General features: G+C 38.9%; 1 long non-coding RNA gene and 1 pseudogene across 2 annotated transcripts in view; one reads left to right on the forward strand and one right to left on the reverse strand.

The window, feature by feature from the left end:
* The window catches only part of LINC03075 (long intergenic non-protein coding RNA 3075), a 27,314-nt gene continuing 11,808 nt past the window's right edge, over nucleotides 1–15,506 (forward strand). Inside the window, exons 1-3 of one of the 2 annotated variants that reach the window (XR_002956557.2) lie at nucleotides 1–192; nucleotides 1,013–1,177; nucleotides 8,141–8,250. This is a non-coding gene — a long non-coding RNA (long intergenic non-protein coding RNA 3075). Of the gene's footprint in view, nucleotides 193–1,012; nucleotides 1,178–5,870; nucleotides 7,106–8,140; nucleotides 8,251–15,506 lie in introns of those variants that run through there. The other variant, XR_001745219.1, reaches the window with a different exon arrangement.
* VN1R31P (vomeronasal 1 receptor 31 pseudogene) lies at nucleotides 13,193–14,035 on the reverse strand (annotated as a pseudogene).

Genomic DNA, 15,506 nt, shown 5'->3' on the forward strand with positions numbered 1-15,506 from the left:
CCACCGAGCTCCTCCAGGCTTCCAGTGCAGTTCCGCCGTGCGGAGGGAAGCTTGGCTGTTCACAAACCTCTCCTGCCCGCGAGGAGACAGCTTGGCCAGGGCGGCTGATCTCACCTTGTCATTGTGACACGGTGTCTCCCCAACGTGCTGGCTTCATGACTTGTGCCCAGAGTTTGATTTTCCACAGACCAGGTAGAGGCCAAGAGCCTCTCACAGACTCTGCAGCAGGGTTGCTATGGTAACGCTTGCGCCCCCGCCCCCCCCAGCAGCCGGCTCGACACCGCCCTTTCCCTCTGAAGGGCCACTCGTTTTAGCCACGTCCTCTTATTGTCCCTCCCCTGGCCACACCCCTTCAGACATGCGTAGTGCTCCCCTTGGTCCAGCGCGGGAAGCTCCCTCGTGAGTGTCCGAAACTATTAGCTCACTCACTGCCTCATGTGAAGGTACCCAGTCTCTGGTAACCTGGCACTTCCCTTTTGAAAACCACCTTTTTCTCTCTCTCTGGGCTGCCACGAATCCCCCTGTACTCCCCAGATGCACCTGTTGGACCCCGGGCTGGCTGCATGGCCCACACCTGGGTCAGGCCTCGCACAGGGGCGCTCCTGCCACTATAATAACGATGAGAAAATGTCCCAGGGGAAAGGCCTGACCCTGCTGCATCCAGTCAGGAAACTGCCACGGGGAAGGGACCACCTAAACTACTTTGCGAGCCACATCCACCACTTCTTTGTCCCCCACCCAGGCTGGTTCCCAGGCCTTGGGGTCCTAGTGTAGACCTCCCGGCCATAACTAACACAGGTGCAGGACCAGAGAGCGCCTTGGTTCCTCCCAACACATGAGGAAGTTTGTGTGGTGAGGTTTGGACAGTGTCTTTGTTTTTGCTCTGAATAGGGTGCCCTGGAAAAATCTTTACCTCTTATTAAATACTCCCTTTGGAACCACTTTTAAGACTTTGCCGATGGAACTTAACAGTGATCATTTATTGAATCCATTTTTCTATTCGCTTTTTTAGATTAACTCTTAAGTACTCCACAACTACACGCTTTTGAAACTGGCGTTGGCATAGCGTTAGTTCTGTGCAGGGCGGACGCAGCAGGACAGAATCTCCCTGGGCATCTTTTCGGAGCATCAATTTTACTGCAAAATTTTGAAAAAACAAATTTAATTGATTTCCAAGGTAAGAAATTAAACCTTGAAAAATAGACTAAAGAGTCATCTGCACCTGACATATCAGACTTTCTGCAGGAAGAAAACTCTAAGGAGAGCATATTGTCCATTATTATAAATAGTGAAAATGAGAAATCATAGCAAGTCCCTTGAAAACCCTGCCCTGCCAGTTTTCTAATAGGGCCTTGGTATGGTTTTATGTGTATTTTCTTTTGAAGTGTGCTCATCTTTTGAATATACAAATTTGAGGTTTTGACCAAATTTTGCAAGTTTTCAGCTATGAGTTGTTTATTTGCTCTTGTATCATATTTAATTTTTCTGTCTCTCCCTCTCCTTCTCGGACTCAGTCATTCCACAGGTCTCTAAGGAGCTTTTCATTTTCTTCAAACTTGTTTCACTCTTCAGATTGGATGATGATGATTTCTATTGCTGTCTTCTGTTTCTACTCTGTTTATAAACTCAAAGGTCTTTTTAATTTTTCATTTCATTATCTCTGTATCCCATTCTTTTTATAATTTTCATTTCTCTGTAATGGAGTCTCGCCGTGTCACCCAGGCTGGAGTGCAGTGGCTGATCTCAGCTCACTGCGCCCTCCTCCTCCCAGGTTCAAGTGATTCTCCTGCCTCAGCCTCCCAAGTAGCTGGGACTACAGGCACACGCTGCCACACTCAGCTAATTTTTGTATTTCTAGTAGAGATGGGGTTTCACCATGTTGGCCAGGATGGTCTCAATCTACTGACCTCATGATCCACCCACCTCGGCCTCCCAAAGTGCTGGGATTACAGGTATGAGCCACCGCCCCCAGCGTTTCTGGTGTTTTATCAGAGGAGCAAAACCTGAGGTAATTCAGATTCTGCTCTTTGTTATCTTCTAGGAGTTTTGTGAGTTTTCCTCCTATATAGGTCTATGATCCATTCTTAGTAATTTCTGTGAAAGTTGTCAGGTCTGGGTTTAGGGTTTTTTTTTTTCTTCTTTTCTCTTGTATGTGGATGTCCAGTTGTTCCAGTACTGTTTGTTGAAAAAGTATTGTTTCTCAATTGAATTTCCTTTGCTTTTTCCTCAAAGATAAGCTGACTATATTTCATGGGTCAATTTATGAGCTTTATCTTTTGTTTGATTGATCTGTTTCTCTATTATTTTTTACCAGTACCGTGTTTTGATTACTGTAGCTTTATAGTAGTGCTTACAGTTGGGTAGTGTCATTCCTATAACTGTTCTTTTAAAATATTTTCTTGGTTATTCTGAGTCTTTTACCTTTCCATATAAACTTTAGAATCAGTTTGTCAATATCCACAAACTAGCTTTGTGGAATTTTGATTGGGATTGCACTGAATATGTAGATCTAGTTGGGAAGTACTGACGTTTTAACAACGTTGAATCCCTCTTTACTTGAATGTGGATTATCTCTCCATTTATTTAGATCTTCTTTGATGTTTTCACAGTTTTGTAGTTTTCTTCATATGGTTTCTATATTTATATTTATTTTCTTATATTTGTACCTAAAGAATTTCATTGTTATTGGTGCTAGCATAAATGTCACTGAATTTTTAAATTTCAAATTCTAATTACATTACTGATATATAGGACAGTAATTGACATTTGTATATTAATCTTATATTGTGCAAAGTTGCTATAATTGCTCATTAAAATTGGTTATTCTAAGATTTTGTTTTGTGATCTTTTTGTATTTCTCCATAGGCAATTATATCATCTGTGTAAAAAGACTGTTTTATTTCTTCCTTCCCAGTCTATGTACCTTTTCTATTCTTGTCTTATTGCATTACCTAGGGCTTATAGTATAATATCATATAGGAATGGTGAGAGGAGACATCTTTGCCTTGCTCCTGATCTTAGCAGGAAGGAATCTAGTGTTTCTACATTCAGTATGAGGTTAGATGCAGGTTTTTTTTTTTTTCTTGAGATGTCGTCTCGCTCTGTCACCAGGCTAGAGTGCAGTGGTGTGACCTCAGCTCGTTGCAACCTCCGCCTCCCGGGTTCAAGCAATTCCTTGCCTCAGCCTCCCAAGTAGCTGGGACAACAGGCACGCACCAGCATGCCCGGCTACTTTTTTGTATTTTAGTAGAGACGGGGTTTCACCATGTTGGCCAGGATGGTCTCAATCTCCTGACCTCATGATGCACCCACCTCAGCCTCCCAAAGTGCTGGGATTACAGGCGTGAGGCACTGTGCCCGGCCAGGTGCAGGTTTTTTTAATAGACATTATTTATGAAATTGAGGAAGTTTTCCTCTATTTCTAGTCTGCGGAGAGTTTTTCTCATGAATGGGTTTTGGATATTGTCAAATGATTTTTCTGAATGTACTGATGAAATCTTATCTTTTTAAAACTTAATATGATGAACTAATTTTTTTTAAAGACAGAGTCTTGCTATGTTGCCCAGGCTTAGTTTGAACTCCTGGCCTCAAGTGATCCTCCCTCCTTGGCTTCCTACTGCATTAGGATTACAGGTATAAGCCACCACACTTAGCCTAATTTATTTTCAAATGTTGAACCAGCCTGGCATGCCTGTAATAAATCTCACTGGGTTGCAGTATATAATTATTTTTTACATTTTTGGACTTGATTTCTTAATATTTTGGTGAGGATTTTTGCATCTTTCTTCATGTGAGATATTGTCCTGCATTTTTTTCTTGTAACGTCTCTGTCTGAATTTGACACTATGGTAATCCTGGCCCCATTGAATAGTTTGAAAGTATTCACTCTGCTTCTGTTTTCTGGAGGAGATTGTAGAGGGTTGGAATAATTTCTCTTAAATGTTTGCATAAATATACTAGTTACCTCATCTGGGTCTGGTACTTTCTATTTGGTAAGGTTACTTATCATTGACCCAATTTCTTTAATAGATGTAGTACTATTCAAATTGTCTGTTTCTTATTGTGTGAGTTTGGGTAGGTTGTTTCTTTCAAAGAATTTGTCTGTTACATTTGGGTTACCAAATTTGTGGGCAAAGAGTGGTTTATAATGTTTCTTTATTATTCTTTAATTCTTCATGGGATCAGTAATGATAGATCCTCTTTCATTTCTGAAATTAGGACTGTGTCTTCTGTCTTTTTCAACCAAAACTAAAAAGGAACGTTTTAAAAAGTGAAAGCTATTTTTGATAAACTATCTAATTTCCCATGATCTGCAACTGTGGGTACATAGGAAGTACATGGAAACAGATGTTTGGCAGAGCTTGCCAACAAATTCTTTTCTGCATCAAGAAGGCATGCCTCTCAGCATGACACTCTTAAGAGGCAGAAATGTGACAAAAGAAGGATGCGATCTGCTCCTGGTGAAGAGCCACCTGACTCTCCCTCAGCTGCACATAGTGGCCTTAACGTGCATCTTGCTAGAAGGGGCATGCAAGCCAGGGGCTGCCAGCCAAGCCATACAGGCCAAGGACAGTTTCAAGTCTGCCTTTTATTTCATCGAACTGTTGTTCTAGTAAGCAGCTAGAGTTTTATGAACACTGTAAACTCTTTATCATATTTCTTTGCTATTTCTGGAGGATTTGTTCTAGGAGTCCTCTTGGATACCAAAATGCATGGATGTATAAGTTCTTTATATATAATGGCATAGTATTTACATATAACCTATGCATATTCTCCTGCATACTTTAAATCTTCTCTAGATTACTTTTAATACCTAAATTGTTGTTATGCTGTGTTGTTTAGGGAATAGTGAAAAGAAAAATAAAATTCTGTAAATGTTCAGTACAGAAACCTTATTAAAATATTTTTGATTCACATTTGTTGAATCCAGGAATGCAGAAATAAGGAGGGACAGCTCTACCTATGTTTGGAGTCCATGAATGTGTCATCTTGCTGTGTTTGTAAATAGAAATTTATTTCACAAAATGACTCAACTGCTTCTTCACTAACATGTTCAAAAACTTGCAAGAAGCAGCCAGGCATGGTGGCTCACACCTGTAATCCCAGCACTTTGGGAGACCCAGGCAGGAAGATCACCTGAGGTTGGGAGTTCGAGACTAGCCTGACCAACATGGAGAAGAATCGTGTCTACTAAAAATACAAAATTAGCCAGGCACGGTGGCGCATGCCTGTAGTCTCAGCTACCTGGGAGGCTGAGGCAGGAGAATTGCTTGAACCCAAGAGGTGGAGGTTGTGGTGAGCCGAGATCGCACCATTGCACTCCAGCCTGGGCAACAAGAGCAAAATTCCGTCTCAAAAAAAAAAAAAAAAAAAAAAAGAGAGAGAGAGAGAAAAGAAAAGAAAAACACTTGCAAGAAGCAAAATAAGAATTGAGAAAGGGGAAAGATGATGACTGAGAGTTGGAAGGTTGCACATTTTCACAGAAAAGTAGAACGGAATTGTAACAAGCACTCTGATAGGAAATCATAGTTTATGTCTCGCAACTGTCCCTGAAAAAATACAATGGTTGGCAGAAAAGACAAGAAATGAGATAGACTATAAATTAACTGGAGAAGAGAAAAAATAATTCCCAGAAGTAAATTGTCAACGAGTTTGAAAGCAGGTAAAATGTAGGTGCATTATCCCTACTCTTTCTGAATAATTTTACAACCTTGTGCAACAGGAGCTTCTGTCACTGCAGAACCAGGGTCACCTGTGGAAAATCCTTGCTGAAGCCATCTCCCTGTCTGCCTGTCCCTCAGGCCCAGGAGTCATGAGTCCTTTCTCCAATAAGTCATTCAGTTGGCTGGCAGCAAACCCTGGTAAGATTCTTCAAGGCAGCTACTTTTTATCTTAGATTTTAACAGAAACTCATGAAGAAAAGTCTTAAGACCTAAACTCCCAAGTCCCTTACTGTATCATTTTGAGTATTAGGAAATCAGTCAGAGGTCTTTTCAGCATCTCTGAAATCACAATGCAAAAATAGCCCCAGCTTCATAAGGCCGATTCTTGGTATCTCTGTTCTGCAAAGTAGGGTAAGCAAGATGCCACAAAAGGCAGGTTGAATGCAGCATTATCCTCACTCCACCAACAGAACTATCATACTTTAAGTAACCCAGCAGGTCTTTAAAATAAAGAAATTATAAAACATAAGGAAAAACTTTCTTGAGAGGAAAAAATTTACAAATCAGAGGAAAATCTTCTAGAACTTTTACATCTTATAACAAATAAATCATATGCTTTATTGTTTTCCTCTGAGTACATCATCAGTACTTCCATAATACTTCTAATTTTTGGCTTGAAAACACCAGTTGCTTAAAAAAACACAGGGACACAAAACAAAATCCCAGAAATGTATAATTATTTTTTTTAAGCTGACAAAGGAGTAACACACCACTGACTTCTCAGGGAAAAGCTTTCAAGCAAAGCAGTCATTTCTGGTGGGGATTATAGAAGAGGGAGTTATCATGGTGAGATGGTGGAACTAATCCAGAACAAGCCAGATTTTTAGTATTGACAAAGGGATTTAATCAGTTGCCCAGGAATACTCACTCACTTGGAAATCAAACTTCCATCATTATTCTTGGAAGAATTTCTGGAACTTCCCCTTTGGAAACAAATTTTTATCTTCAAAAATACCAGACAATAGAAGAAAAGAAATGAAAAAGGAGGCAGAGGAAGATGAATCTTGCTTAGGCAGGGACTGAAAGGGAATTCGTGGCCATAGGCCACATTTTTCAGCGCCCACTGTGTGACGGCTTTCCCCAGGACCACACGTGTGCCACTGAACAAGAAGAGTCCACAGGGACCTTCACCTTATTCCTCCCCAACATCAAAACCAAAATGGAACAACCTACCATGAGAATATGAGTATATATCACAACTTCCATTACATTTAAAGCATGCAGAGTATCTAATTGCAAATTCAAACAGTGGAAAAACAAATCTACTTGCCTCCTGGCCACAGCCTTACTCTTTTAAGAGAATGTGGTCTATGCTTTCTAATCCCATCACCAGGGATAAATAACCACAGGTTTGTGTGACATAGAACCACCTCCATGCAGAGGTAAATATGCATTTATTTTTTATAAAATAAGAATTATACTCTGTACTTTTATACCATACTTTTAGAATATAACAGTTCTTATGATCATTTTATAATTATTTGAAACAACCTCCGTAGCTATATAACATTAAATCAAAAGAACATTTCATAATTTTACCATTTTCCTATTGGACATTGAGTTTGCTCTCATGAAGTTTATATTTGTGTGATGATTTGGGGGAAGTTTCTCGGCCTCACTAGATTGAACACCTTGTGATGGTGGTCACTGTTATATTCTTTTTTATTTTTATTTTTTGAGACAGAGTCTTTCTCTGTTGCCCAGGCCGGAGTGCAGTGGCATGATCTCGGCTCACTGCAACCTCCACCTCCCAGGTTCAAGCGATTCTCCTGTCTCAGCTTCCTGAGAAGCTGGGATTACAGGTGCACGCCACTATGCCCAGCTAATTTTTGTATTTTTAGTAGAGACGAGGTTTTGCCATGTTGACCAGGCTGGTCTTGAACTCCTGACCTCAGGTGATCCCCCCGCCTCGGCCTCCCAAAGTTCTGGGATTACAGGCGTGAGCCACCATGCCCAGCCCTATTCTTATTTCATTAAAATACCTGAAACATATCAGGTATATTGCAGCATCTGTTGAATGAATGAATGAATCTCTCCTTCAAATCTTGGCTAAAGTCTGCCTCATCCACAAAAGTTCCTGACCCTCACTTCAATCATAAACCTCTTTCTCTTCTATAATTTCCCATGTAGCTGTTTGTTTGTTTTTTTTTAACTCCCTGGCAGGAAAAAGAGGAAACATGCTATTTATTGAGCACTATTCTGAGTCAGGGACTGTGGTAAATACATTCAAGAAGAAAGCATCAAAAGGGCTATACGTCAGCCTAGACAGTGTGCCCCAGAGGGTCCTTGACTGAACATTTGGTGACGAGCATGTTGGGCATGTGCTCTAGGCTGAGGTGCAGCTCTTATGCCACAGACTGACCCTGGATCAATTATGGCTCAAGTCCCACCCTGAAATCTCTCTTTCCCATTTCTAGGTTTGTCAAGGAGGACAGAAACTCAGAGCACCCTGCACTTGGGGATCGGCACTAGGAGCTGCTCTCTGGATGGGGAGATGGGAGCTAGCAGCTCACAATGGGGTCACAAGGTAAGTTCCAAACAGCTCTGTCACAGAGAGCGTCAGCAGATCGCAAAGAAAGGGAGCATGTGAAGGAGAAAGCCCTGAGTGATGTCACAGCTCATTTCTGGGCAAAGGGAGAAGAAATTAGCACCCTGAGGCCCTTCCGCCTTATTAACCCATTGCACTTATTCTCAGAGGCTCCTGCCAAAAATAGAGACATTATTCCACCTCCACCTCCTCAAATTCTAAGCCAGAAATATGTGTGTGTTATCATTCAACTTATATCATTTTTTCCTCCTTAAATGATATTTTCACCACTAATAAATTTATCAAAATTGTACTTCACATGTGTAATACAGAAGAAACAAGGCTTCCTTCAACACTGAATTAATGAAAAACAACTCAGGATATTTACTTTTCTTCACACCATAAATTTTGAAGAGCTTTTTCGTTATGCACTGTGTGTTACAACATATGTGCTTAAGCAGTCAAGCAAGTATCTCATATCTGAATTGGAAAGCTTTAGAGTATTGACAAAGAAGATGTATGTATGTATGTGATGTTGCTGGCCTAAGACAGGCCACTGCTACTGCACACAGAGCAACTGTATGTTAACAACTGCTGTGCTAGGGGCGTGTCCCCTGAAGTTAGTGTTGCTAGCATGGAATTGAAAATATTTATGAGTCTCAGACATGGCATCACGGTGTTTGACTATTATTACATTAGTTACTTTTAGTCACTGTTTTATTACAACATTTTAATGTACATTTGTTCACAGTGTAAAGAAACTGAAGTTTTTGTTTGTTTGTTTTTTCTTTGTTTCTGTTTTTGTTTTTAACTTTTATGGTTGTGTGCCCATGGGCCCCCACAAGAGGTCTCTGTTTGATCTCATTTCTGTGCTAGTGATATTTCTAGGAGTCCAATAATATGGGGCATGTTATAATATACCTTTTAGAATGAAGAAAAAGTGGTTACGTATACATTCTCCTACATCAAAAAAAGGCGCAAGAGCTGGCAGGTTTCTTTGGGTTATGAGAAACCCATTCCTAGTTTGAGTATGATACCGTGGCCCATTCAATGAATGTAATGGAAAACTGCTACTTTTAAATTGGGCACAGAATAATAGAAGGCCTGCAAAAAGTCCAGAGTGCAATGCAAGCTACTTTGCCACTTGTGCCATATGACTGCAGATGCAATGGTTTTTGAGGTGTGACTGGGAGATAGGAATGCTGTTGTATCTTTGATAGGTTGCTATACATAAAGCCTGGTGTAGGTCCTTATAATTTTGGAGCAGAGCCTTAAAACCTTCTGCAGATAATTCTTTCTTTCTTTCTTTCTTTCTTTTTTTTCTTTCTTTTGAGGCAGTGTCTGCCTCTGTCAACTTGGCTAGAGTTCAGTGGCATAATCATGGTTCACTGCAGCCTCAACTTCCTAAGTGCAAGCAATTCTCCAGTCTCAGCCTCCTGAGACTACAGGTGCATGCCACCACATTCCATGGATTTTAAATATTTTTGTACATATGGGGGCTTGCTGTGTGTGCCCAAGCTGGTCTCGAAATCCTTGCCTCAAGCAGTCCTCCTGCCATAGCCTCCCAAAGTGGTGGGATTACAGTTGTGAGCCACCACAATCAGCCTTACCTTTTGAAACTATTGTAAATGGAATTGTTTCTTCATGTCATGTTGAGATTGTTCATTGCTAGTGTATAGAATTTTTATTAATATTTTTATATTATTTTAAATCATGCAATCTTAACTCATTTATTATAGTGGGTATTTGTGAATTTTCTTTTTTCTTTTCCTTTCTTTTCTTTTTTTTTTTTTTTTTTGAGACGGAGTTTCACTCTTGTTGCCCAAGCTGGAGTGCAATGGCGTGATCTTGGCTCACTGCAACCTCCGCCTCCTGGGTTCAAGCAATTCTCCTGCCTCAGCCTCCCGAATAGCTGGGATTACAGGCGCGCACCACCACGCCTGGCTAATTTTTTGTATTTTTAGCAGAAACGGGGTTTCACCATGTTAGCCAGGCTGGTCTCGAACTCCTGACTTCAGGTGATCCCCCCGCCTCGGCCTCCCAAAGTGCTGGGATTATAGGCGTGAGCCACCACGCCTGGCCGAATTTTCTAGAAAGTTTTATATACAGGATGTCATCTGAATAGGCTTCCGATCTTTATCTGAAGGTCATGAATTTATTTTTGTTCCATGATATTTCTGGCCAAAATCTCCAGTATACTGTTAAAATAGAAGTGGTAAAAATATATTCTTGTCTTGTTTCCAAACTAACGTTCTCAAACCCAAGATTTCAACATTATGCATGATATTAGCTGTAGGTTTTTAATAGATGTCTTATAGCAGGTGTAAAAATTTTGCTTGTGTTTCTAGTCTAGTTAGGGTTTTTTCATAAACGGGTCTAGATTTGTCAAATGTTCTGTGTTTTTCAGAATGATCATTTTGATATTTTATTGTTTTATTAAGCTGTATTATATTGACTGATTTTTGAATGTTAAATTTGTATTGTGAGATACCCCTCTTGGTAATGGTGTCCAATAATTTTCATTTGTGGCTACATTTATTTTGTTATTATTTTTGTGGATTTCTGTGTCAATATGGATAAGGGATAATAGTCTATAGTCTCGTAGTGATTTTTCCTGACTTTTGTCTGGGCAATACTGGCCTCATGGAATGAATTGGTAAGTTTCTTCTGTTATTCAGTTTTGTTTTGTTTTGTTTTTTTGTGGGGCAGTCAACTAAAAGACCTGGTTTTAACTCATTATTAAATATTTGGTCAAATTTACAAGTGAAACTATCTACTGAGCTTTTCTTCATAGAAAAAGTTTAATCTCTAATTGTTTTGGTTCTATTCATATATTCTACTTATTCTTGAACTTACTGTAATAACGTATGCATATTATCCACTAATCAATTTCTAATTTGTAGCATACTATCTTTTTATATTTTCATTGCAATAAAAAGTAAAGGGAAGAATAATGTGGAAAGACAAAGATTTTGGCAATCCATGTTTCCCTAGTGTCTCAGGGTCCTCTGTTGTAGGGAGGAGATTATTGTACTTGTTGTACTTAATACTCACATATGTTCATGAAGTAGATGGGACCCATCATCTAAAGTAAATTAGAGAACTTTGCAAAATGTAACCAAAATAAAAGTTTGTGCCTACCTCTCTTTTAATCAATATTTAGACGGGACAGGAATATAAATTTCAAGAAAAACAAATACATATTTCTTGGAGGCTTTGTTGATTTCTTTTTACTGTTTTTTTCTCTAAACTTCTCTTCTTGCTTCATTTCATTCATTTTATCTTCAATCACTGATACCCTTTCTTCCAGTTGATCGAATTGGCTACTGAAGCTTGTGCATTCGTCACATAGTTCTCGTGCCATGGGTTTCAGCTCCATCAGGTTATTTAAGGACTTCTGTTAACCGGTTATTCTAGTTAGCCATTCGTCTAATCTTTTTTCAAGGTTTTCAGCTTCTTTGCAATGGGTTCGAACTTCCTTCTTTAGCTCAGAGAAGTTTGATGGTCTGAAAACTTCTTCTCTCAACTTGTCAAAGTCATTCTCCTTCCAGCTTTGTTCTGTTGCTGGCAAGGAGCTGTGTTCCTTTGGAGGGGGAGAGGCACTCTGATTTTTAGAATTTTCAGCTTTTCTGCTCTGTTTTTTCCCCATCTTTGTGGTTTTATCTACCTTTGGTCTTTGATGATGGTAATGTACAGATGGGATTTTGGTGTGGATGTCCTTTCTGTTTGTTAGTTTTCCTTCTAACAATCAGGACCCTCAGCTGCAGGTCTGTTGAAGTTTGCTGGAGGTCCACTCCAGACCCTGTTTGCCTGGGTATCAGCAGCAGAGGCTTCAGAACAGCGAATATTGCTGAACAGCAAATGTTGCTGCCTGATTGTTCCTCTGGAAGCTTCATCTCAGAGGGGTACCCGGCCATGTGAGGTTTCAGTCTGCCCCTACTGGGGGGTGCCTCCCAGTTAGGCTACTCGGGAGGCACCCTGTCCGTTCTTGAGGAGGCAGTCTGTCCGTTCTCAGATCTCAAACTCTGTGCTGGGGGAACCAGCACTCTCTTCAAAGCTGTCAGACAGGGACATTTAAGTCTGCAGAGGTTTCTGCTGCCTTTTGTTCCATAACTATAGTTATTAATAATGTATTGTACACTTGAACTTTGATAAGAAAATAAAACTCAAATAGTCTCACCACACTAGGAAAAGGCAACTAGGTGAGGTGTGAGGGACATGTTAATTCGCTTGATTATATTAATAATTTCACAATATATAACTTTATTAGAACATATATGTAAGGTGATACAACTTATACAATTTTTATTTGTCAATCATATCCCAATTAAAATGGAAAAATTAAGTGTAACCAAACTAATGTCTAGCCACATGCAAATTTTATTTAGACCCATTTAAATAAATTCTAGATTTTCAATATAAAATCCAAACTGACATAATTTTTACAGAATCAGGAAAATTCTAATGAGGAAGCATGATATTAAAGATATAATTGAATAGTCATAATACCTAATACCCCTACATAATACCATAATATCCCTACTTATTAAAGTAGGGGTAAATTAAAATATTTTCAAAAGCTAAAATTTTGAGAGATTTGATTACCAACAGGAGCTTAAGAGTACCTTTTAAGAAAAAAGAAACATTTACTAATATGAAGTTAAAATGAAAATTAAAGAGAAAAAGATTTGATATGAGAATATCAATTTATGGTAGATATTGAACTTAGCAAGCTATAAAGTCCTTAGTAATATCAGCTTCAAAAGTATTCATATATAATTTTAAAAGGTGATCTTATACACATTGGTTAAATCAGATAAAAAATGAGCTACTTGAGCAGTTTAAATAATAGCAGATGACTATTTTTCAGAAAACGTTTTTCATCAATAGCTTGTTAAAATTGGTGGCACATCAATTACAATTCTGCAGAATACTTTTTTTTTTAATCAGAACTAATTTGTCCCAGTGGAATAACAGTGGCATATGCATTGAGCACAAGCCTCCGGAAATTCAGGACAACTGGGTCATACACCCATAACAGGATTGAGGATGTTGAAATAAGAAGGTTCATAGGATACATGACCACAAAGCAACTCATAACAGCAGGATGGTCTGGGTGGCCCTTTTCTCTGAGGAGATTCTTGGAGAGATGCTGGTGCTGTGGAGCTGGGATTGCTTCTGATTTCTGAAAAAGAGGATCCACATGAATGCACTTGAGAGCAGCATAACTCTGACAAGGAAGGCATCCCTGGATAATTTCACTCCCTGATGATGAGGTTCATGGGGAAAAGTGAGCAGTGTTTACTGACATTCAATAGATCAGTCTGAGTCACATTTGAAAAATACACAGTGAAGAAGATTAGGCTGCTACTAAAAGACAAATTGAAGAACCAAAAAAGAAGAAAAACATTGGTAATGTAATTTGTAAATTTATGTTTAAACCTTGCCAACCATGAGTTTCTGGGACTGACGGTGATGGCCTGGAGCACACTCAAGAGCCAGGGGGGACAGAGGGAGATGCCTCTTATCACCCTTTTTGTGTAAAATAATAGCTTACATTTAAAGCCATTCCCAAATTCAGTGATTCAAACACAACTTGAGGAAAAAAATCCACTGCAGTAAGGAGCATTAGAATATGACTGAGGACCAAGTGGCAGATGATCAAGTCATGGAACTTTGGCCTGGGATCCAGAAGAAATGTAAAGATTTGAAAGAAAAAAAAAATGGTATTGATGAATAATCCAATGCCAACTCGAAAAATAAAGGCACTTGTTAATGATAACATAAGTAAAAATTGTTTTCATCTTAATGACATAGAAGAAACATTTTTGTATGTCTGGAAGAAACAATATACCTCACATCATCAATGTTCATTCTAAAGTGACATTATCCCAATCATCATTATTTTTATTTTGCTCATTTATTCATCATTAAGCTTATCTCATATGAATTCTTGACAATCTTCATTATTCATCATTAACCTTATCTCATATGAATTCTTAACAATCTACCTTCTGTGTTATTTTGTACAGTAAATAATATATACATTACATGTTGTTTTGGTTACTATAACTCTGTAGTATAATTTGAAGTCAGGTAATGTGATTCCCTTAGTTTTATTCTTTTTGTTTTATTTAGTTTTTTTCTAGGTCTTTTAAGGTTTCATATGAATTTTAGAATTTTTTTCTTATTTCTGTGAAGAATGTCATTGGTATTTTGATAGGAATTGCATTGAAACTGAGATTGCTTTGGCTAGTATAGACATTTTAACAATATTGATTCTTCTAATCTATAAAAAGCAAATTAAAAAAAAATTTTGTGTCCTCTTCAATTTTTTAAAAATCAGTGTTTTATAGTTTTCATTATACAGATATTTTACTTCTTTGATTAAGTACATTGCTAGGTATTTCATTTTATTTGTGGCTATTTTTTCTTCAGTTTCTAATGTTACTCATTTCTGTCTCATACCTCATTAGATTGGCCTTTAATGTCCATATTTTTACCAACATTGTCTTCAAAATTATTTACATATTTTCTAAGAAGATGAAAACTTCCTCTGCAGTTGTATTTTCTTCCTGAGCCCTCATCAGAATTCAGCTTGATTACATATTTTTAATATGCACTTCCAAACTCTTTGATGCCTTTATACATCATTCAGTTCCAAAGCTGCTTACACATTTAGGTGTTTATTATATCAGGACCCCACTTCTCCATATCAAAATCTGTATTAGCATCCTTTAGATGCTATAGTAGAATACCATAGACTTAGTAGCTTAAACAATAGGTATTTCTTTCTTGTAGCTCTGGAGACTGAAAAGTCCAAGATCAAGGTGCCAGCTGATTCAATTCCTCAGCGAACTATCTCTTCCTTGCTTGAAGATAGCCACCTTCCCTCTGAGTTCTTGCATGATAGATAAAAAGCATGCTCTGGCTGGGCATGGTGGCTCACACCTGTAATCCCAGCACTTTGGGAGGGCGAGGTGGGTGGATCACCTGAGGTCAGGAGTTTGGGACTAGCCTGGCTAACATGGTGAAACCCTGTCTCTACTAAAAGTACAAAAATCAGCTGAGCGTGGTGGTGTACACCTGTAATCCCAGCTACTTGGGAGGCTGAGACAGGAGAATCGCCACCATGTGCCACCATGCCTGGCTAACTTTTGTATTTTTAGTAGAGATGGGTTTTCACCATGTTAGGTAGGCTGGTCTCAAATTCCTGACCTCAGGTGGTCCTCCTGCCTCGGCCTCCCCAAGTGCTG

The sequence above is a fragment of the Homo sapiens genome, chromosome 7 (assembly GCF_000001405.40).
Source record: "Homo sapiens chromosome 7, GRCh38.p14 Primary Assembly".
In the NCBI taxonomy this organism is placed as follows: Eukaryota; Metazoa; Chordata; class Mammalia; order Primates; family Hominidae; genus Homo; species Homo sapiens.